Source organism: Homo sapiens, chromosome 10 (genome assembly GCF_000001405.40).
Source record: "Homo sapiens chromosome 10, GRCh38.p14 Primary Assembly".
Lineage (NCBI taxonomy): Eukaryota > Metazoa > Chordata > Mammalia > Primates > Hominidae > Homo > Homo sapiens.
Genome location: NC_000010.11, coordinates 26,269,251 through 26,291,895, shown reverse-complemented (window position 1 = coordinate 26,291,895; position 22,645 = coordinate 26,269,251). Strand labels below are relative to the sequence as shown.

At 42.2% G+C, this 22,645-nt stretch overlaps 1 protein-coding gene across 2 annotated transcripts in view; it reads right to left on the bottom strand.

Moving 5' to 3' along the window:
- GAD2 (glutamate decarboxylase 2) overlaps positions 1-22,645 on the bottom strand; it is an 88,187-nt gene that overhangs the window by 12,663 nt on the left and 52,879 nt on the right. For both annotated transcript variants that reach the window (NM_000818.3, NM_001134366.2), the window contains exons 10-13: positions 21,140-21,256; positions 18,196-18,260; positions 10,809-10,887; positions 5,402-5,551 (exon numbers count right to left, since the gene is read on the bottom strand). In NM_000818.3, coding sequence (NP_000809.1) covers positions 5,402-5,551; positions 10,809-10,887; positions 18,196-18,260; positions 21,140-21,256 — 411 coding nt within the window. The remainder of the gene's footprint in view (positions 1-5,401; positions 5,552-10,808; positions 10,888-18,195; positions 18,261-21,139; positions 21,257-22,645) is intronic.

Sequence of the window (22,645 nt, the reverse complement as noted above, 5' to 3'; positions counted from 1 at the left end):
GGGGGCAGATAAATGACTCACGTGTCTGTAATGGGTGAACATTATCACTGATTTCTTTTAGTTTCTGGCTCTGGAAGCTCTGAATCCAGACTTGGGAAAACCAACACAACAGTCTTGGACTGGAGCTGTTTAACTGACATCGGGACACACAAGAGAGTTACTTTTCAAAATGGCTTTCCTCTTATCTCCTTGGGTGTTTACTGGGTGCTGATGGAGAAAGCTTAAGAGTAAAAGCCAGTGCTCATCTCAGAAGCACTTTGAACCTGCCTACCAGTAACTTCTCCAGCAGAGAACCTAGAGAAAGCAATTGTAATGGAGATGAGATGGGCCCACTTGCCTGTTTCATACAAGATCACATCATCTCAGCTAAGGGGGCCCAACATAGCCCAGTGACTTGTGACATCTGAAGCAGGTTTAAGAACAAGCTGCCCTGGAGATATCAAATGGGTTCAGAAATTCACTTCTTTGGAGACTGCTCCCCCAGGTAATCGGCTCAAGGAGGCTGATGGGTTCCTGATGCCTCCCCAAGAAGAGCTTGGGCTGATGCCTGATGCTTGGCCAGCACCCATACCAGGAGCTCTCTGCATCTATGGGTGCTAAGGAGATTATAATTGGTTTGGAATGACCTGACAGTTTGGGTTCACTTGGGATGGACTGTAGGTAGAAGTGAGGGAAGCTAATTGCTCTTCTCCAACCTGGATCCTTTGGACCAGTCTGGAGTTGGGTTTAAACTTTTGCATATCTGATCTAGGATATGGCATGACCAGCTTGCCTCTGACCCTGTCCAGATGAATGGCTTTGGCCAACTCTCTGATCAGATGGGAATGATGATGCCTCTCTGATTTCCCATGAAGAAGAGTTTGCACTGCAACAGCAATGGGATTACTAAAGACCTCTGGTTCCCCTGGTCTGGGACCTTGCTATGGGGATGATCATGGGCCATGTGACTGCCCCTTTAGTTGGGGGCTAAAGATATACATGGGGAATGACACAGAAAACTCTAGTGTGCCCTGGGTGCCTCCCGTTCATATTGAATATTTATGGGATTAAGATCCACATTTTATTTTCAAGGTTTTGAAGGCTTTTAGGAGATTCTTCAAAATTCTTTCATTCATTAAATACTTCAGCAATCTCACCATCCAAGTGTTCAGCTGCTGCCTCTATGTGGTCTTGGGGTTTGACATCTTGAGAGCTGGTCATGATCATTCTCCACTTCTTGAAATGCTTTTATAAACATTCACAGGCCCCAGAGACAGTGCTTTTGAAATAACTACCGAATCCCTTGCTGTTATCTCAATTTTTGCTGCTATCACCCTAGTTCAGGCTCTGTTACTTTTCACCTGGAACATAGCTCCCAAGTCGCCCTTCAGTCAATTAGACTTTCCCTCACTTTCATAATATGCACTGAACTCCTGCTCAACCACTCCGTGGAATGGCCTTCTCACAGCACTGCTGGGTGAAATCCTACTTCTTCTACCTATCCTGTTCAAGTCCTATCTCAAAGGTCATCTCTTTGTGAATCATCTTGATTCTTAAACCAGGAATGAGCTCTCCGTCCTTTAAATTCCCCAGATGTGTCTGGATTTCTTTTGTGATCAGTCCTAATCTGTCTTTTATGATGGATTTCTGTGCATTTATCTTATCTTGTCTGGAAAATGAGAGCCTTCTTATCCCATTCAGTACTAGACACGATAATAGATGCTGAATATCTACTTGTTAAAATAAATTAATATTTTAGAGAGAAAGTAAACATTCATTTTCAGCAAAGGATGCCAGATGTCCATTTCCCTTTAATATTTTTTTCCTGGTATTTTTTTTCACAGCCATTTGCCAGTCCCTCTGTTATCCACATTTTTAATTAGAAAAGCTAATCATAAAAAAACCACAAGGAAAACTGACTATTTGTATGACTACATACAAACACAGAGATTTGCTATGAAACCTTGGTTGTTATAAATGAAGTTATTCCTGCAGGCCTGAAAAGGGAATGTAGGAGAATCGCTTGAACCTGGGAGATGGAGGCTGCAGTGAGCTGAGATCACGCCACTGCACTCCAGCCTGGGCAACAGAGCAAGACTCCATTTCAAAAAAAAAAAAAAAAAGGTGGGGGGGAGATGTAATTTTAAGTTTATTTACTTATTTTTGTTAGCTACTGAGTTTTAGCCACCGTAGAAATCTGTCAACATTGGGAAATAATCATTAGGTCCTAGGATTATTTAATAAAATGCAGACAAAATGAAAGGCCAACTCCGTAAGAGGAGAGTCAACGGTAGGCACTGGGCCTTTGCTGATGATAATAAAAATCCATATCTTAACCAGCTAGTATGCCGCTTAGCAACCTAAATCAGGGGTCTTATTTTTTGCATAAATTGGTTCTAATCAAGTTAATTTGGACTTAATATGATGGCTGTCATCAGTGCATTTAGCTCCATTAGTCATTAGCAGATTAGTTCAAAGAATAATTTATACTTAGGCTATTTCTCATGGGGTTTATCTTAGGAGAAAATGTGGAAAACACCGAATTCTCCAGGCATGTCTGACAACAGAGGGTTTAGTGAATTAATGCTATGTTCTTCCTCCTTCTCCTCCTTAATCTTTTCCAGATTGTTTCCTCATTCCTGTGGGGAGGCAAGATTCAACATCATAGCCAACTCTTTCATGGCTCTTCTTGCGGGAAGAGGATGACTTCTTCCTTGGCCAGTGTGGCTAGAGAGAGAGCTTTGCTGTGAGAGTACAATTTTCCTCACCTTTGATCTAGATTGTAGGACTTAGCTTATTACTTTAATAATGATTATCATTTCGTTTTTCAAAAAAAAACTCACAAAGGTTTAGATTGAAAAACAAAATGGAAGTTTTTGCGGCTAGATGTCTAGATACTTGCGGTGTTTCCACAAGTAAGTAAAAGAATAAGTAACACAGTGGCTGTGATTTGCTCTTTTCATCCCCTTCCCTGGTGCCTTCATGGGGCTCTTGCTTTTATTTTGGGCTTCATCTGGTCCTGCTGTTCGATTCACACCTGATGCCCTCCATATTATTTCTCTAAGAAACTGTGCTGCCCCTGCTGGAGAGGAGGCTTCAGATGGAAAGGGAGCAGCAGAAACTGATGAACCATGAGAGAAACGTTTTCCTATAAATATCACTGATGATCATTACCGTAATAAAAACACCACAGGGGAAAAAAGCCACAAAGAATGATACTTGAAGTAAGAGAGAACTTGGCACAATATTCAGAGATCAAGGTTTCCTCAGCTTGCTACCTGATATTTACATTCATCATTTTGTAATTCCCACCAATCAATGAAATGAAAACCCTGCTCATTTTAAAGCTGCTTGGAGGTACATCAATACTTTACATTCTTGACTGCTTTGGGTTTTTCTTCCAAATGAAAGTGTCATTGCTAGCAGAATGAGTCTCCCACTAGGTGGTGGGGACCAGATACCTGTCCTTGTTGGGCTGTCAATTTTCAAAAGAGGAAGGGGGCCCGTCACCCCACCATTACCAGGCAACACAGTGGAGCTTCACTTCATGTAAAGCTCCTGATATTTAGCTTCTTGTAGCTGCCTAATATTTAGCAACATGTAAAAAGTTCAGCTGGAGTAAACAGTATTAAGGAGGCTTCCCTGAAGGATGTACAGTCCAGCCATCCTTGGAAACCACTAAAGAGTTATTTCTTCTTTAAGCAAGACCATCTTTCTGTTTAAACTGCATCTTTTTGCCAGAATGGACTTAAAGGAGATTCCATAAAATATTTGTGGGTCACATTGCTTCACTCGAAAACTCCCTCTTTTTCTTGTTAAGAATCCCATCATCTAAACTGCTTAAAGTAATTTAGGTTACTTTAAAAAAATTATAAACAAAAGCATAAGGAATGCATTGCCGTGGACATGGTTCCTACCTTTTTACACAGACTTGTGGAAGAACCCATTCACTGGTCTTATCCTGGTATACTTCCCTCCTGCTGACCAAGTTATTTGCTTTTTCTTATGGGACTGAGCATGTTACCTCTTTAAGTAGGCTATTTACACACCTTAGAGCCAAATGTATATCCACTCCACCAAGCATAAAGGACCTCATGGTATCCCAGATTTCCCTTGTGAATGTTGTTAGAATCAAAATGGAGTCACTAATGCTAAGAAAATCCTGATAGATAGAGCCAGGGAAAACCATGAAGAGAGGGTTCTCATGCCTTGTATACCAGATAACAAAAACTGTCACATAAGACTGCAAAAATGGCAACCTTGCTCAAAGGCCACCACAACCTTACATACAAAAAAATACTTCTGCAAGGACATCTGCCTAGCAATTGCCTATCCAGCCTCGGACTGGCATCACCCTTGTTATTGATCTTTGTAGCCAAGGATATTTATCTCAAAACAATTATGTAATCTTCCTCATTTCTTCCTTTAAAAACTTTTGCCTTCCTTTACCTCCTTTGAATGTGCATAGAGTTTACTATGGCACATGTATTCCTATTGCAATGCTTTATTTCCAAATCAACATCTTTTCTCTTAGAGAGACTCTCTCTGTTATTAAGGTTGACACCTTTAATCGCCCCCTTTCTCACTTTCTTATGTCAGGTTTCCTCGAACTCTCTTTTTGCATTGGAGTTTCTATAGTATATACAGCTGGCTCTGTCTATTTATCTCCTACAGGAGACAAATGAAGCCGGATGGGCAGGCACTAATTTGTGACCTTTAAGTTAAGAATCTGGTCAAAATTAAAAATAAAATCTTTGACCTATCCAGCCTGCTTACATTTAAACATAAATGTAGGCTCCTGGAAAGCTACAATTAAGTCTAAGCAAGTCCTGCACACTGTTAGTTAGTGAGTTTTCCTTGCTGAAAAAAGGAGGGATCACCTACAGCTAAATTCAGAGGGAAACTCAGAATCTACATAAAAGGAGGTGATTAGGTATTTTGGGAGATTAGGGGGAAATAAAAAGCTTTGTAACTAGAGGTTATCCCTTGAAATGTCAAAAAATAAGCTATCATGGTGGGCTTTTTACTTTTTCTTTTTTGTTCTCCAGACCTATACTTTCAGATTGCATTCACCTACCCAGGTGATCAATCACTGGGTAAAAACCAAGTTAGCAGACAAAAGCCAACAACAATAACAATAAACACCTGTTAAAATTCAAGGTGTTCTGCTATATAAAGCAAAATGGATTTGTTTTCCAGATGAGTGAGCATTTGAATCAATTTGGCTAGAAAAGAAACAAACAATGGATTTGACTATATTTTTCCTCATGTCAAATGAAGGTATTTAGACGCAAGTTTAAAGAAAGCAAATCTTGGGTAAGGAAATTTCAATTTGGAAATCACTTTTTTGACATTTCATAATGGGGTCACCAGATAAAGGTTCTGTTTTTAGTTGACATTTAGCTGGTCCATACATACTCACCTTTGCCCTCCACATCAGCCATAGTTTAAAAACATCAACGTGGCGTCCGCACTGTAAGGCCTTGTCTCCAGTGTCATAGGACAGGTCATAATGTTTATCTTGCTGAAAGAGGTAGGAGGCATGCATTTGGTTGCAATTCTGCATCAATCCCTACAAGAGAGAAGAGAAAATTTAGGAAATTCTACTGACTACTTATTAGATTTATATTGGTAAAAATTAATAAGAAAAAAGAAGTAAGAGACATTGCATATCTTAGAGAAAGAAAACAGTAAGAATCAATTTTAAAAAAAAGAATGGGGGCAATTCTGGACAGGAGTGTCTAGGTTGTTGTAATGGTCAACTCTGTGGGATCAATGGCTCAGGGTCAAATGTCACGGAGGTTAGCAAGGACACATTTATACTTTTACTCTCCCTTTTAAGAGAAGGCATTTATAAAAATCAACTGATAAATAAAAATCACAACCAGAGCATATATTTATATTTAAATGTTCCCCTTCTTTGGGAGAATATCCTACTATTCTGGTTTTGTCATGATTAAAATATTTTGGAAACTCTTTGGTTTTGTGAAATATTATTAGTGTGGTTCTTCCAGTATTTCCATCCATATCTAGTTCAAGTACTTTATCATTTAGCTGTTAGGGAGTTTGAGCTCCCTTTGGAAATCATAGCTTTTAAGGCAGCTCATTGCTATCATTTTTATATGCTAAAATCTAAAAAAAAAAAAAACCCACATATTGCAATTTTGAGGTGAATTTAAATAACCAATCTTTCAAATGTCATATTCCTCTCTCAAGAGTGGTCAGAGCTTCAGTCCTGCATTCGCATACTCAGTTCCTTGAGATAGATAAGTGGAAAGTTTCATCGTCAATGGCCATTCATTTGCCCTGGCACTGTAACCTTACTATGGAAATGGGTGGCAAAGTGATTGAATTATTCCAGAGAATAGTGACTGAATCATGTTTTCCGACTAAAATAGTATCGACAGTCTCTTCACTAAAAACCCCGTGTTTCAATTTGTCATGAAACACTGGAAGCCTTTGACTATTTTGTTCTCTTCTGTCTAATTGTGATTTTACAAAAGCTTTGGCATTTGGTTTTGTTTCTTTTGTGACTCACGACAAAAGAAGACAAGACTAAAGTGTCATCACTTAGTTGAAGTTAAAACTGAGAACACTTCTGAAAACTGTCCACACTAAAACACAATGCAATGCAACTACAATTTTAATTTGGTTTTGAAAGACGGAGTGCTGAAATGGTAGACAACAGAACTGGACTCTACCTTGTAGTTTAGGCTTCACATATATTGGAATCCTTTCATTATTTTTCAGAATAAGAAAAATTAAATACGATGTATTTGTATTAGATCAGTAGAAATATACTGAACTCAAAAAAGAAAATTCACTTGAAGACCAATAAGGTGAAAATTTGCAACACTCACTTTTATTTGGTTTCATGGTCACAGAAACTTTGTACCATTATTCCTCAGGCCATGCAAGCTCACACCTTCGTGCCATCAATACTAAGGAAGACCACCTCAGAGAGTGTGGAATGCTGAATGGATCAGACCTATTCCTACTGTGATAAAGAAAACAACTCAAAAACACATGAGCCCTAAAAAACCTGGATGGCCGGGTGCGGTGGCTCATGCCTGTAATCCCAGCACTTTGGGAGGCCGAGGCGGGTGGATCACAAGGTCAGGAGATTGAAACCATCCTGGCTAACACGGTGAAACCCCATCTCTACTAAAAATACAAAAAATTAGCTGGGCGGTGGTGGGTGCCTGTAGTTCCAGCTACTGGGGTGGCTGAGGCAGGAGAATCGCTTGAACCCAGGAGGTGGAGGTTGCAGTGAGCCAAGATCACATCACTGCACTTCAGCCTAGGCGACAGAGAAAGAGACCCCGTCTCAAAAAAAAAAAAAAAAAAAAAAAGCTGAACAGCCGCAGTCTCATTACTGTACAACATGACAAGCAAAAGTGATGCTGTTTTCCCTACAGAAGGCCTTAGTGAGATGATATCCTGGTTCTGAGCCATGAAAAAGTTATAGACCATCCTGTCCCAAACTATTTAAAACACATTAAAACACATTAATAGTTGCTGTACATAAAGAGATTCCCGTGCTCAAATAAATTTAGGAAACTCGATATCATCTAGTCTTTCTTCTTAGATACTGCAATAATTATCAGCATATTAAGGGCCCCAGTAAGCCCTGAAATAACATAAGTTGTTTTTAACTCTAAACCAATATATCCCAGCCTTTTTAAAACTGAGAACTCTCTTATTGGGGAACTCTTATTACCATCTTATGGAACAGCATTATTCCTTGGATGCCAATAAACAAATGCTGTCAGAGCATCATAAAGTCTTGGATTTGTAAGGGAATTTAGAGCTCGTTTACTCTATTCCTCCTCAATAAAGGAATCATTTCTACACCCTTACTAATAAGTGGCTGTCCAATCTCTCTATTTAATCTCCTCCCCTTATTAACTTATTCCTATTGTTGGACAGCTTAATTTTTAGAAGTATTCCTTTTATTGAACCCAAGTCAGATGTTCTGATTTTGCTGTCAAATCTCTACCACCTGGTGTTACTAAACCAGCTCCCCACAGCCTCAACGGTAACATCAAATTGCCAGTCGGTAGGTCCTTCTGATGCAGTCATCTAATCATTTCCAAATCTCTTCCATTTGAGAGTCCTTTAAATGGTGAAGGCTGCCATCCTCCCTTCAGCCCTTTTCTTTTCTTTTCCTCTCTAGGCTAAACATCTTTAGCTATTTCAATCATCCCTCTTCCACGTTTACCAAATGGTCCCCACAGTTTGGGCTCTAGCTTGATGGAACCCCATGGACAATTTGGTACCAAGCTAAGCAGAGCATGGCAGGTGTGGTTTAACTAGAGGAGGGTGGGAGACCACCACCTTCTCATGCTGAAATTCCACTTGCTGTAACTCATTAATGTATTTTGTGTGGCATTTTTCTCTTGACTCGTTGTTGACCCTGTAGAGCTGATATCCTTTGCCTTTTTCACAAGTCCAACAATTTAGCTGTAGAAACAAGCCTTCCTTGTCCAATCAAAATACAGCCACGGTATACATGGACCTAAGAGCACAGCCTTACAATGGTCTCCAATAACAGTGTCCCTTTTTGGATGTGGCTTACTGCTCCAGTCTGTAAAAATCATCTTGTATTCTGATTCCATTCCTACACACATTTACTCTACCTCCCAGTCTCCTCTCATCTGAAACATTAATAAGCTTCTATGTTTTACTCAAACAGTCCGTGAATATTTCGAATGCTACAGGTTAGGTACCAAGCCATAGGCTCTATCCTGGGTAACATCAAATTGCCAGTCAGTAGATCCTTCCAATGCAGTCATCTAATCAGTTCCAAATCTTTCTATTTTCCTCCGGCTCGCATTTCCCTTTTGGTCTGTAAGGACATGATGGGAGCCACTGTCAAAACATCTGGCTGAATTCTAAATAACAAAAATTTATTTTCTCCTTTGAAGTAATTATAGTTGAGGTCTCATGCCCTGCATGAGCTGGGGCAGATGATAATACATTGGACTGGATTTTTAACTGATGAAAAACCAGTCCAAAAGGATATTTTCCAATGCATTCATCTCATTTTGAGGGGAAGTTGCTGTCTTCAATCCTGTGTCCATATTTTTATTACTGATGAAGACACAGAAGGCGTGCTGTGTAAATTTGAAGTTGACAACAGGAGGTATTAAGAACCACAGAAGTAATAACACTCTTTGACCCAGCAATCCCACATTGAGGAGTCTACTTTGAGAAAATAATCAGGAATGTGATCAAAGGTATATGTTTAAGGATTCTATCAAGTGACTCTGTAAAACATTGGTTAATATTTTAACCATAGAGATATTGTTCATTGAATTATGTGATAGAATAATATGAGGCCATTAAAATCAGGTTTTGGAAGATAATGCTCACAATATAATGTAAAATATAAAGAAGAATCAACATGTATATATGAGGTATATGAGGTAGATGATAGCAACTTTATTATAAATATATATTTATTTATACTTTTTAAATATATTTATTTCTAGAAAAAATTGTGGGAGAAAATATTAAAAATGGTAATAATGGTTATCCCTAAGTTACACAAATTTGAGGTGACTCTAAATTTATTTATATTTTCTGTTCTGCCTCAACTTTCTAAAATAATGTATTAACTGTATAACTAGGAACAAAGCAAAATATTTTTAAGTAAATGAAGATAGATATTTGGCTGGGCATGGTAGCTCATGCCTGTGATCCCAGCACTTTGAAAGGCTGAGGTGGGCGGATCACTTGAGGCCAGGAGCTCTTGACCAGCCTGGCCAACATGTGAAAACCCTGTCTCTACTAAAACCACAAAAATTAGCCAGGTGTGGTGGCGGGTGCCTGTATTCCCAGCTACTTGGGAGGCTGAGATATGAGAATCGCTTGAACTCAGGAGGCAGAGATCGCAGTGTGCCAAGATCGCACCATTGCACTCCAGCCTGGGTGACAGAATGAGACTCTGTCTCAAAAAGAAAAAAAAAGTAAATGAAGATCAACATTTAAAATTTCTTTTAATCTGGGGTTGCTTTATTAATGCTAAGAAGATAAAATTGAATGGGGATCATCTGAAGCTCCTTATTTGGGTTTCATCAACAAAATAAATGTGGGAGTGAGGAACTATGAGTCCGGCCTGGCGTCACGGAAGGCAGATGTAGTGGCCTTGACCAACAGTGCTCACCTACTGAGAATGGTCCTAGGCCTGGTGAACAGAACCATCTTTCAAGATGGTTTCAAGATGGTTTCATTCATGAAAGTGCTCATTGATGCTGCTTCTCTTTTCTGGTTAATAAGGATGCAGCTTCCTTACACTTTGAACATGGCTTTAAATATTAAATAGATAGACTGTAATCATCTGTAATCAGAGATTACAGATTAATCATCTGACTGTAATCAGAACATGCACACATACATATACATGTTATGTATCTGGATCCTACCACCACCCTTAATCCTATATCATGTATATTTGTTATATAGGAAAAATGATCTCCTCTCAGATTCCAGAAAAAAAACCTGGAAATTTAATTTTTTGGGAGAGTGACATAGAGGGTCTCTGGATTGGAGGAATGCAGGAACAGTTGAGGAAAGGGGTATCATACTGAAAACATGGAGATTAGGTCAAAGTTTATGTTCTGAAATTTGAGGTCCTCTTATCCTTTCTTCCCTGTTAGGCACCAGACCTTCACCCTGCAGACAGGAATCTAGAAAGGGCTCTCTGGGGAATGTGAGTAGGACCATAGAGAAGACCCGGTGATCTTGACATTTCCAGAGAAAGTCAACCGCATAAAGACAGTCAAAGCCCACGCACGGACTGGGACACAGAGTCAAGAGAGACATACCTCTTCTCTAACCAGGAGAGCAGAGCACTGCAAAGGGACTCCCATCATCTTGTGTGGATTCCACGTCACAGAGTTGGCCCTAAAATAAAGAAATCACATAAGCGGGTGGCACTCCACCCTGACAGGCTCAGGGCATGCGCAACTGAGCTTCAGTTTCTTGGTATTGTTTCTCAGACTCCAGATTGACACTAAATGTATTTATTTATTTTAATTTTAAAAATTAAATAGATTGAGGGGGTACAAGTGTAGATTTATTACACGTATATAGTGCGTAGTGGTGAAGTCTGGCCTTTTGGTGTACCCAGCACCCAAATAGTGACCACTGTACTCAATAGGTAATTTTTCAACCCTCACCCCCATCCCATGCTCCCATGATACTGTATTTAGTAAACACAAAGTAGACTCTTAAATATGTGTGAAAGGAAAATATCTCGGACCCCCAAAATCACTAAGCTAAAGGGAAAAGTCAAGCTGGGAACGGCTTACGGGAAACCTGCCTCCCATCCTATTCAGTTACCCCTCTGCTCACTGAGATAAATGCATAACTGATTGCCTCCTTTGGAAAGCCTAATCAGAAACTCAAAAGAATGCAACCATTTGTCTCTTAGCTACCTATGACCTGGAAGGCCCCTCCCCAGTTCGAGTTGTCCTTCCTTTCCAGACCAAACCAGTGTTCATCTTACATATGTTGACCAATTTCTTACATCTCTCTAAAATGCATAGAACCAAACTGTGCTCTGACCACCTTGGGTACATGTTGTCAGGACCACCTGAGGCTGTGTCACGGGCGTGCGTCCTCAACCATGGCCAGATAAACTTTCAAAATTAACTGAGACCTGTCTCAGTTTTTTGGAGTTCACACTGCAACTTTTCTTTGTCCACAGAAATAGCAGGTGAGGGCGTGGGTCTCCATGTGGTGTGCCCCTGCTCCAGTGGCAGCATGCACCCTGCCTCCACGGTGATCTCAGAGCACAGCTTAGAGTGATTGGGATCCTCCAGTCCAGGGTCCCTCCTTTGGCCAGTGATGGCCAGAGCACCTGGCCAGTGAGGGCAGCTGCCTCCTGTGCCTCTATGGTTCTTGCTATTGCAGTGTCCTGGAGCTCAAAGAGAGGGCTCATTCCACTGCTTAACTCGATCTTTCCTTTCTAATCAATTGATGTCCAAATTTCTCAGATGCGTCCTTTTGTAGTAGCTTCTGGCAAGGCCCCTGCTTCCATCTGTTTCCTAATCCAGAGTTATTTTCTTTCCAGACTGCAGGTGAGATGTGTGTGGTTCCCACAGCAGGGGAGAGTTCCATCTTTTTTTGCCTCATGCCTTGGGGAAATTTGATGCTCTCTCATCAGTAACAGTGGATCACACAACAGCGATTCCGTGCTCAGGGATTTACATTATTTCAAAAGTCTGAGCTGTAGTCCTGGTTCAGATTCCTTTAATAATAATTATTATTTTAATCTGGATTCAGCAATTGTGTCATAACTGACTCGGTCTTCATTTCATCCTTCACTTGGCACCAGAATTATTTTCTATCTCTGTTTATGGCCCTCTCCTTCTCTGAAATCACTGACAGTTTTCTTTTGCCTCCAGCCCAAATTCCAAATACAGGGTACGGCTCCTGCAGCCCCTGGGGTGAGCCCCAGCTACGCCTTAGGTCTTGGGTCTCTTCGCTTTTCTTTACCCATTTCATCAGGCCAGATTAACTTTTGTTCTCAGAGAATTCTATTCTCATACTCCTGGGTCTCATCATGCTGTTTCCTCTTCCTGGAACACCATCTCCCTTTGCTTCACTTTGTTAAATCTTGCTTATTTTTTAAGGCCCCAGATTCTTTCAGTATGATCTCTGTGGCTTTGTTTAACTTCTGCGGCTTCTCTCCCTCACTTCCACCGTGCTCCTGTTTGGATTCTGGGAAAAGCAACTGCTCCCACTGTGAATGTCATGGCTCACTTCACACATTTACTGGGTAAGGTGAGCCTCTACGCTTGTCTCCGGAGAGACTGACGGGTCCTGGCAGTGGAGTTTCATGAGTGGCATAAAGGAGGAAGGAAAGTATTACAGTAGAATAACCCGTGGCAGCTGCCTCCAGAGAGCCATGGATTGCTGCCCTGTCTGGCCGTACAATGGACGTGGGCTCATCCAGTTCCCACCTCTCGGGTGTGATGGCCTTGGGAAAAAATGAGAAGCTGGGAAAGACCCGATTCATTCATTTGATGAAGGGCAGGTGTCAGCCAGACAGTCAGAGAGCGCTCACTGGCCTGGGGATCTCATCTGGGCCAACGAATAGTCTAGCTCAGCTTCTGGTCTTTCTCTGGCTCTGACACTGGTTGTCAGATACATTTACGACTGGAATTGAGGAACTAGAAGCAAAGGCAGTTCATGGTCAGATAACTACCCCTGGAGAGAAGACTAAAGGACTTAATGAGTAATAACAGCATTGAGGTATTGGAAAGTTCCCTCCAAAAAAATACCTCCTTGCTTTGTAGAATGACCCTGGAGTCAGGACCCTGGGCTATAAAGCAGACATAATAGTTAAGGGGGAAGCCCTCAGGAGCCAGATAGTATGGGTTTGCGTTCAGGTTTCATCACTTCCTGGCTGTGTGACTTTGAGCAAGTTACTTAACCTCTCTGTGCCTAGATTTCCTCAACTAGAAAAGGAGAATAATAATATGTATTTAGGTGAAGTGCTTAGAACTGTGCTTAACATGCAGTAAGCATTAAATAAGGTTGGCTTTTGCTATGGATTTCATCTCTGTCATTTGTGAGCTTGGTGACACCGTGCATGCACGTACACATGGCCATTCTATACATTCCATCATGTTCTATGGCTAGATGTCTAATTCGGATAAACTCAGCTTTGTCAGTAAGAATGCCTGATGGGAGAGGAAAACAGCTGTCTTCCATGTCTGGCTGTGGTGTTTATCTCTACGTGGGGGCCTATTTGTCTTTTTAGAAGAGAAGCTGCCAAGGCCCCCAACTACCTGTCACTGAATTCTCTGTCCCACCTCCCTCTCAGAGGCATAAAGATGGCAAAAAGCCCTGCAGATTGATTCGATGACATGGACTTGATTTCAGAAATGTTGGCAATTTATTTAAAAAAAAAAAACAGCCTCAGGTTCATTTCAAAATGTTTTGCTGTGGGATTCGGTCATGCGGCTTCTGCAGTTTGTGTAAGTTGGAGAGAACTGAATCCCGCAGGGCTATTTTAAGACATCTCCCTGTGCTCTTATTTCTGCCTCAAATCCATAGGCCCCAATCGCCACTGCTCAACCTTCTAGATTGATTCTTTCTCCTCTATATTCTGTGTTCCTGGCACCATTTTCCTTCCAGGCCTCCAGCCTCCAAACCTCACTGTTGTCCTTAGTTTCACTCTTTTCTTCCCCGTCTCTATACCGCCCCTTACAGTTCTCTCTCCCCCTCTCCTAGGTCCATCCACTTACTTCCTTCTCTGCTACTACAGCTTAGGTCACACTCAGCTTCTTTCCTGTCCTGCACCTGGACGTTCCTAAGAGCTTAATAGCTTCTAGTCTGTCCCTGGCTCCCGTCTCCTCTCTAATGCAGAGTTAATGCCAGAACACAGGTGAGATCACATTGCACTTCTGCTCAAAGCCCACTACGGCTCCTGCAGCAAAGGTTTTCCATGGGTTTTGTCGCCCCAAGGAATCTAATGCTCTCCACGCATAATGGCAGCCACACAGCAGTGACTCCCAGCTCAGGGATCTATGTTTCGTGGAAAGAACCCCCGCAGATTCTGACCTGGCTCTGCGGGCGGGCCCTGGGCTGGCCAAGACTTCTGCACTTTCCACCCATGACCTGGCCACAGCTGTTAAACCATGGCATCCTCCAACCAAACGGGTTTGAACTTTCTCCAACACACTGTGCACTTTCACACTTGTGTGTCTCTTCAGCCTGAATGCCCTTTTCCATTTCTGCCCGATGAAGTACCCTGTATGCTATGATGCTGAGCTACAATGTTGCCCTGCTTGGTGAAAGCTCCCTGTAATCACAGAAGGAAACATTCCTTTCTCTGTGCTCTCCAATCAGCTCCCACGTCTGTCTCTCCAGCCTTTACTTCCTTGCCTTGAATTTTAATCCACTGTTCATTGACAATCTTCCCCACTAGATTCTGAACTCCTTGAAGATAGGCTTTATATCATACTCGTCTTTGCACCCATGCAGTGCGTTGTGCTGTGGCTTGCCTATGACAGAGGTTCAGCAATGATCGAATTAAATCCTGAACACCTGGCTCTCAGGGCAGGAGTGAGAGCAACTGGTGATGCAGCAGAAACTGTACCAGCACCTTCAGCTGCGACTTAAAGCCTTGAGAGTGGAACACATCAGAGGATGATTACGGTAAGCAGCAGCCTGTGGGCAGGAGAGACTAAAGACGCGTCAGTCTGATGCACAGAAGCCGGCGCGGTGGCTCACGCCTGTAATACTAGCATTTTGGGAGGCCGAGGCGAGCGGATCACTTGAGGTCAGGAGTTCAAGACCAGCCTGGCCAAAATGGTGAAACCCCATCTCTACTAAAAATACAAACAAACAAATTGGCCAGGCATGGTGGCGCATACCTGTAACCCCAGCTACTCAGGAGGTTGAGGCAGGAGAATTGCTTGAACCCGGGAGGCAGAGGTTGCAGTGAGGCAAGATTGCGCTGCCACACTCCAGCCTGGGTGACAGAGTGAGACTCCATCTCAAAAATAAATAAATAAAAATAAAAATAAATAAAAATACAATGCACAGAGTCATGCTCTGGAGTCTCAGGGTTTGTGGCGTGCCCTCTCAGCGGCACCATCTCTCGACATTCTGACAGTGCTAGCAAGGAAGAGAGCTGTTTTCTGAGAATTTGGTTGGTTCTTGAAGGGGATGCCAGAAAGGGCTCCAGGTGTTTGTGCCATTTTATTTATTTATTTATTTTTATTTTTATTTTTTTAGAGATGGGGTCTCTGTTGCCCAGGCTGGAGTGCAGTGGTGCCATCATAGCTCACTGTAGCCTTAAATTCCTGGACTCCAGTGATCCTCCTGCCTCACTCAGTCTCCTGAGTAGCTAGGACCACAGCCATGAGTACCACCATGCCTGGCTAATTTAAAAAAAACAAATTCTTTTTGTAGAGATGGAGTCTCACTCTGTTACCCAGAAGGGTCTTGAACTGGCCTCAATGATCCTTCCACCTCTGCCTCCCAAAGTCCTGGGATTACAAGCACCGTGCCCGGCCCCCTTGTGCCATTTTGTATGAGAATGGCATTCAGGATCCTCTGTGACTACTAAGGATCCTCTGGATTTGGGGACAAGAATTGACTACGGATTTCTTCTACTTTTAGGGTGAGTTCTAAACTTTGGTTTGCGGAGCTTGGAAAAATGTCATTCCCTAAGTGAGACACATTTCTTTCCTAAACTTGTGGCCATACACATTATGTGGTTTCCACTGGTCTTCCAACTGTATTCACTTAGAAAGTATGCCTTTTGCTAATAAGTCAGTGAGAGAGGGGTATCCTCAGTTAAATGGGTGGCTAAAGGGGATTCTGCTCAGAGTGGAACACCAGCAGCCCCCTCATTTTTAGGACTTCATATATGGTTATTCCATTTGAAAAGTTTAGTTACAGTACAGTTTCAAGAATTGCGGCAATAAGAGGAAACTCTGTGTTCCCTGATGAACGTTCTAAGCTTTGCTCTCAAATAATAGTCTTTGGTACAGAATCGTGTGGGTGTTTATTTTTCTAAGGCTCAGGGTAGGTAATTTAGTGAGTTTTTAAGTGGAGGATGTGCCAGGACTTTCAGCACTTACAGTTGCAAGTGGCATCAAAGGTAAAGTAACAGACTTTTTGTGCCAGTCAGAAACTCACAGAAGAGAAAGTACTGTACATAGGCCACCTCTCTTGAAAGCACATGAATTTAATTATTGTTCTGATCATGTGAGCAGGCACCTTCCAAGTTGTTCTCTCTCTCTCTTTTATTGTCTCTCCCTGTTTACTTCATTGCCTCTTCCTTAAGCTTCTGCTTTCTTGCAGATCTTCAAGATGGAAAGGGATTAGGCCTGAGAGAAGCCCCAAGGGTCCAAGAGCAGAGGCCTGGCACTGGCTGACCCTGGGAGGGAGACACACCTGCCCTCATCCACTGGCATCTAAATGGGGCCCTGCAATCAGAGCTTGGGTGGCTCCAGGTGCCTTAACACCGCTGTGCTCAGGCCAGGCTCTGACCCCAGCCATCAGACTCAGGGACAGTGACCCTTCTGACATGGGCCTTAGCTGGTGTATCCCAACTCTTTTTTGCCTTCTTTCCATTAATTTGGTGGGATGCTCTTGACTCCAGCCCAGTAACCATACCCCTCTCTTTCCACACTCACGGGTTCTCTGTGTATTTTGGGCCTGGGTGTCAGATCGCACCCTCTGCACAGCCACTCTGGCCTGGGCCTCCCACATGCCCAGGGCTCACAAGTGCCTCTGTGCTCCATCAGCGTCTCTCCTTGTCCTGGAACAGAAACTGTGCCAAGATATCTAGTGGCAGAGCCAGTGTGACGCTTTTGCTGGGCAGCATCTGGCGACTTGGCAGGGGATGGTGGGCATTTGGCAGCCTCTGATGAATTCAGGCTTTCTTGGTCACTTGGAGTGCCAGAGCTCACCACTGTGTCTGACCTGCCATGTTGTGATGAGAGAACTGGGCTCCCCTTGCATGTGGTTCAGAACCAGAGCCTGTATTTTGCATTCTGTTGTTCTCTTTTCTTTGGACCTGAATGTGCTTTATGCCAATCAGATATCACTGCCTTTGTGTTTTTCAGCTTTTCTCAACAGTCTTCTGCGTAGGCTCTAAATAAAAGGTGCTTTGCAGCATCAGTCGGAGCTGTGTCAGAGAAAGGTTATTACGGGAATGAAACATGAGATGAGGCTATTGCTAGTATGTTTCACTTTAAGTGAACTGGCCATCTTAGACCCCAAACCCAAACTTTCAACATTGATAAGTTACAAGGTGCTTATTTGCTTTGAAAAATTATTATTTTTTTTAAGCAGTGGATATTATCCTTTTATGAAACATGAAAGCTATAAATCTTCTCCCTAGTAAAACGTGGGCTGCCTGTAGGTTTTAAACAATTTTTGTGGTTGGTTCAGAGATCCCAGGAATAGACCCTAGACAGGAATCTCTATGTCTGAAAGAGATTCTACCTGGGTCGCTTGATGTGTATTCTGATTTTTCTGTTGTTTACACATAATATTTACATATTTGATTTTTCTGTTGTTTACCCACATTCATGAGTGTAATACCACATAAGGCAAGGAACACAAGCACTGAATAGAGTGAGTTCACTCAGTATTCCAAAAGTTCCTGGAAATTGACTGTAATTTGTGTTTCACAGTTAGCTTTTAACACTTTATGTTGTTAATAAGAAAAATGCAACATACCTCTCCACGCCACTCAGTTTCCACTTGTGTTTTCGGGACATCAGTAATCCCCCACCCCAAGCTGCCTGAAAAAAAATCATATGAGGAAAATGGTAGCAGTTTGTCATTGCCTAGATTTCTATAGTCTGGTGTCTTTCTAGGTGAAAATGATCTTGACCCCAGGCCACTTAGGAAGTTGACCACCTCCTTCTGGCACTAACCTTCAGAGTTTACACCGAAGGGCCCTTCTAAGGTCTCAGATTCCATCCCACATTTATATGGGTGTAAGGAGCCACCTTGGAGGCATAGCTCCTGGTCCGTAGAAGAGAGAGAAAGACCCTCTCCCAAACCTATCACCAGCACCATTAGTCCTCATGAAGTCATGTTCTCAGAATACGAAACCCTGTGGTCCCCACAGTGTAAGGCAGAGAAGATGGGCAGGAGGGCCATTAAACAGCTTCCAAGTTGCAGGGAAAACTCTTTTGACAAGTCTAAATGATTCCAGAAATAAGAAGTGGCTTCATAACTCTATTTCACTGATGTGTGATTTTGGATAATTTCTGTGTCCAAAATTCACAAGCAGGGAAGATTCATACCAGTTAATTAGCTGAGCAGTTAGAACACGTCTTAACAATTTGTACTTGATCAAGGTTGAAGATTTGAATTGGTGTAGTAATCTCCTTTAAAAATAGAATGCCAAGATGGAGATTCATTTGGAAATATTAACTTTCTTTCCTCTGTGTGTACAAATAATTCTAGGATAATTTTAAATGGATTATAAAATTCTTTTATGATATAATCACTTCCCCCCACCTTTTGTTGTAAGTTCAGCCCTCTTTTTGTTTTGTTTTGTTTCTGAGACAGAGTTTTGCTCTTGTTGCCCAGGCTGGAGTGCAATGGTGAGATCTTGGCTCACTGCAACCTCTGCCTCCTGGGTTCAAGCAATTCTCCTGCCTCAGCCTCCCAAGTAGCTGGGATTACAGGCACCCACCACCATGCCTGGCTAATTTTTGTATTTTTAGTAGAGACGAGGTTTCACCATGCTGGCCAGGCTGGTCTCGAACTTCTGACTTCAGGTAATCCACCTGCCTCAGCCTCCCAAAGTGCTGGGATTACAGGCGTGAGACACTGCACCTGGCCCAGTTCTTTTGCACTTTGAAAAATTATGATTTTCCAAACGTGTACTATTTTAAGATTCTTTCTACTTTATAGAATGTATGAATGTTAAAGCTAATAAGAGTAAGTGGTAAACTTGGTATGTTTCAAAGAAAAGCTAATAAAACTGGTTAAAAGATTCCCTAGTTCTAATTTAAGTAGGAGGCCCAGAGGAACAACCCATAGCTTCTGCTGGCTCAGGACACACAGACATTCTCATTTTTGAAGTTGCCGGGTAATCCTCTTCCTGAATCAGCCAGCAAGGTCTACCAGGATTTCCAGTCCTGAGGCCCAGGTCACTAATGATATCGGATAGTTCAGTCTTTTCTCAGTGTCTTCATGTGTAAAATGAAAGGGGCTCTGGTAGCCTAATGAACGACTCACACTGTGAATCAGGGAGGATAAAGAACATTGGTGATTGCTCTGCAGGAATACTCTGGAATAATGGAAATGCACCCAGCTAAGCCTGTGGAAATTTTCTGCCCCTAAAGAAAAGAACATTAATGAGGCCAGGTGTGGTGGCTCCTGCCTGTAATCCCAGCATTTTGGGAGGCCAAGGCAGGTGGATCACCTGAGGTCAGGAGTTCGAGAGCAGCCTGGCCAATATGGAGAAATCCCATCTCTACTAAAATTGCAAAAATTAGCTGGGCATGGGTGCGCACGTCTGTAATCCCAGCTACTCAGGAAGCTGAGGCAGGAGAATTGCTTGAACCCTGGAGGCGGAGGTTGCGGTGAGCTAAGATCACGCCACTGCACTCCTGCCTGGGCGACAGAGCAAGACTCTGTCTCAAAAAGAAAAAAAAAAGAGCATTAATTTGGTCTGAATAATTATTATAAAGCCAAAATGATCTAAGCCAGGGCTAGATCATTGTTATAGCCCTGGCTTAGACCCAGTGCTGGCCCATGACAACATAAGGATCTTGCACTCGAATGAACATCAACTTATGCGTTCCTTCACTGAGAAAGTCTTGCAATGAAAAAATTATCAGCTGAGCCAAGCATTGCGCTTAGTTTGTGATGGTTTGTGATTAGCGATGGTTTGTGACTGATGATGGTTTGGCACAAACTCTTTATCTCATATGGATCATTAACAGTTTGCAGGTGGTAGCTAATCGTCAAACCACACTTTGAGTAATACTAATCTAAACTTAAATCCCTTCGGTCCTTCTAAAACTTAACACATTTTTTTTCATTGGAAAATGTTCTGGAGGGAACACCTTCATTATTTTTTAGTGTGACAAGGCCTGAAGTCAAAACGTTTCAAATATAATCTATCTTCTTAGCTGACCAAGCTACGAAATTGGAACTTTGGTGGTCCTTATTTCCCAGGAAGTTGTCAAGCCTATTTTCCTCTCTAAATACAGGAATATCTAACTTGAGCTTCAGTTTTTTGCTTTTGTTTGTTTTTAATTCTCTGGGTTTCCTACATAAATGCAACTCCTCTTTACTCTTCTGACCATTCTGGTAAGTGAGGAACAGCAGGACTGTGTGCGTAGGTTGTATTCCTCCATGGATGCAATGGCTCGATGAATTGAGAACAAAGTGGTCAGCTTGGGTACTGATCATAGAAATACAAATATTACCATGTTGGGGACATTAAGGTATAATCAGCCTTGGGATGCTTCTGGTGCACGGTGTGTACTGTGTGAGTTGTGTGCTAATTTGCTTCATCCAGCTTTAAAAGCTTTAATATCACCACTCTGAAAATAAGCTGACCAAGTTAAAAAAAGAGAAAACAAATTTCCTTTGTGTGTCCCACATGAAAAACGTGCAAGGACGTTTTAGTGGCCAGTCCCTAAGGGATACTTACATCCACATGCATCCAGATCTTATACTTTTTGCAAATGTCAGCGACAGCTAAGAGGGGGTCAAATGCTCCGTACACGGTGGTTCCAGCTGTGGCACTCACGAGGAAAGGAACAAACCCCTGTGCGAACGAGAAAGCCCCAAATCATGGAAAACAGAGTCAAGGGTTCTTTTAAAAAGCTGATTCAAAGCAATGGAAATTCTCTCCCTAACAGACACGTCTGAATTTGAGGAAGCAGCAGCAGAGTTACTGACACCCCGGGGTCTGGGACAAATTGATGTTCACTCTCTGGAATCTGAGTTCTCTAGGCTATGCTGTTGGACCTGACTGTGTCTTAAAAGAACAGACATTCTGATTCTCAGAAGAGGCTGTAGTGAACCCAGAGGCTGTCAGGGACGTCCCCGAGACATGTATATATTCCCGGTAGACTTTCTGGCCCTTTTAACCCCCTTTGCTCACTTTCAAGTGTTCCTTATTCACAACGAGGCCTCTGAACTTCATAAATCCCCTAGAGTGAGTAGGCAGGAGAATGAAGAGAAGTAGCTCTGACCAGCCCATTATTCCTATTTGGAAAATGCCCAGATAATTTATTTCACGTTTCAGCACGGAGCGGCTAAAATAATACGCCATGACTTTTATCCGTCTAACTAGTCCTCAGTCTCTCTGGCCATGGCTAAATGAAAACTGATTGAAGTAACGGGCTGGAAGAAGGCAGGAGAATGCCACAAACAGGATCGCCATAGTCCCTCATTCCATAAGGACTCTGTCCTGTCTATAGAACGTGATGTTATGGTGTCAGTCTTTAGGTGGCAGCAAAGGTTTAATCTTCTAGTTGATGTTACTAGAAGTAGTTCTAGTACTTGCACAAGGAGGGAAACCTTCTCCTGCTGCCTGCCACTTAGTAAAACAAAACCAAACGAAAAAGGGCATATGAACGTAAATCATTATTTCTGAGTTCCTAATGATAAAATGCATGTGTATGTTATTAAATCAGAAACTGTAGGTTATATCTACCAAATGGTAAACAAAGAATTCTAGAAACAAATTCTCTGATTTGTGAGCCATCCCAGGTTGTAAATGACTTTCTAGAGCTTTGGGAATCTTGGGCAGGCATTCAGAACTTGTTACTTCTGAAAAGAGTTCTAAATTGCTTCCTGCAAAATAAGACGTCTGGAGAGCCAATGCTAACAGCATGCACCTACACGGGAAAAACTGGCCCCTTTTGAAGAACTGCACCAGGGTCTCTCACATACTGCATTAGCATTCTGCTATTTCCCCGCCTCTGAAAATATTCTTTCAAATGTGTGGGTGTTTCATGCCAACCCTCAGTACCTAGGAAGACAAATGCTTTGGAAACGCTCACTGTATCTCTGTATATAATATTTATTCAGCAATTTAAACTTTTCTAAAGCAGAGCCTATAACCCAGAGAAATAAATAGTGACTGGATGCAGAATTCTATGTTCTCATTAAACCTGGGAGATTGAGGCTTGGATCCTCTTTTTAAAAT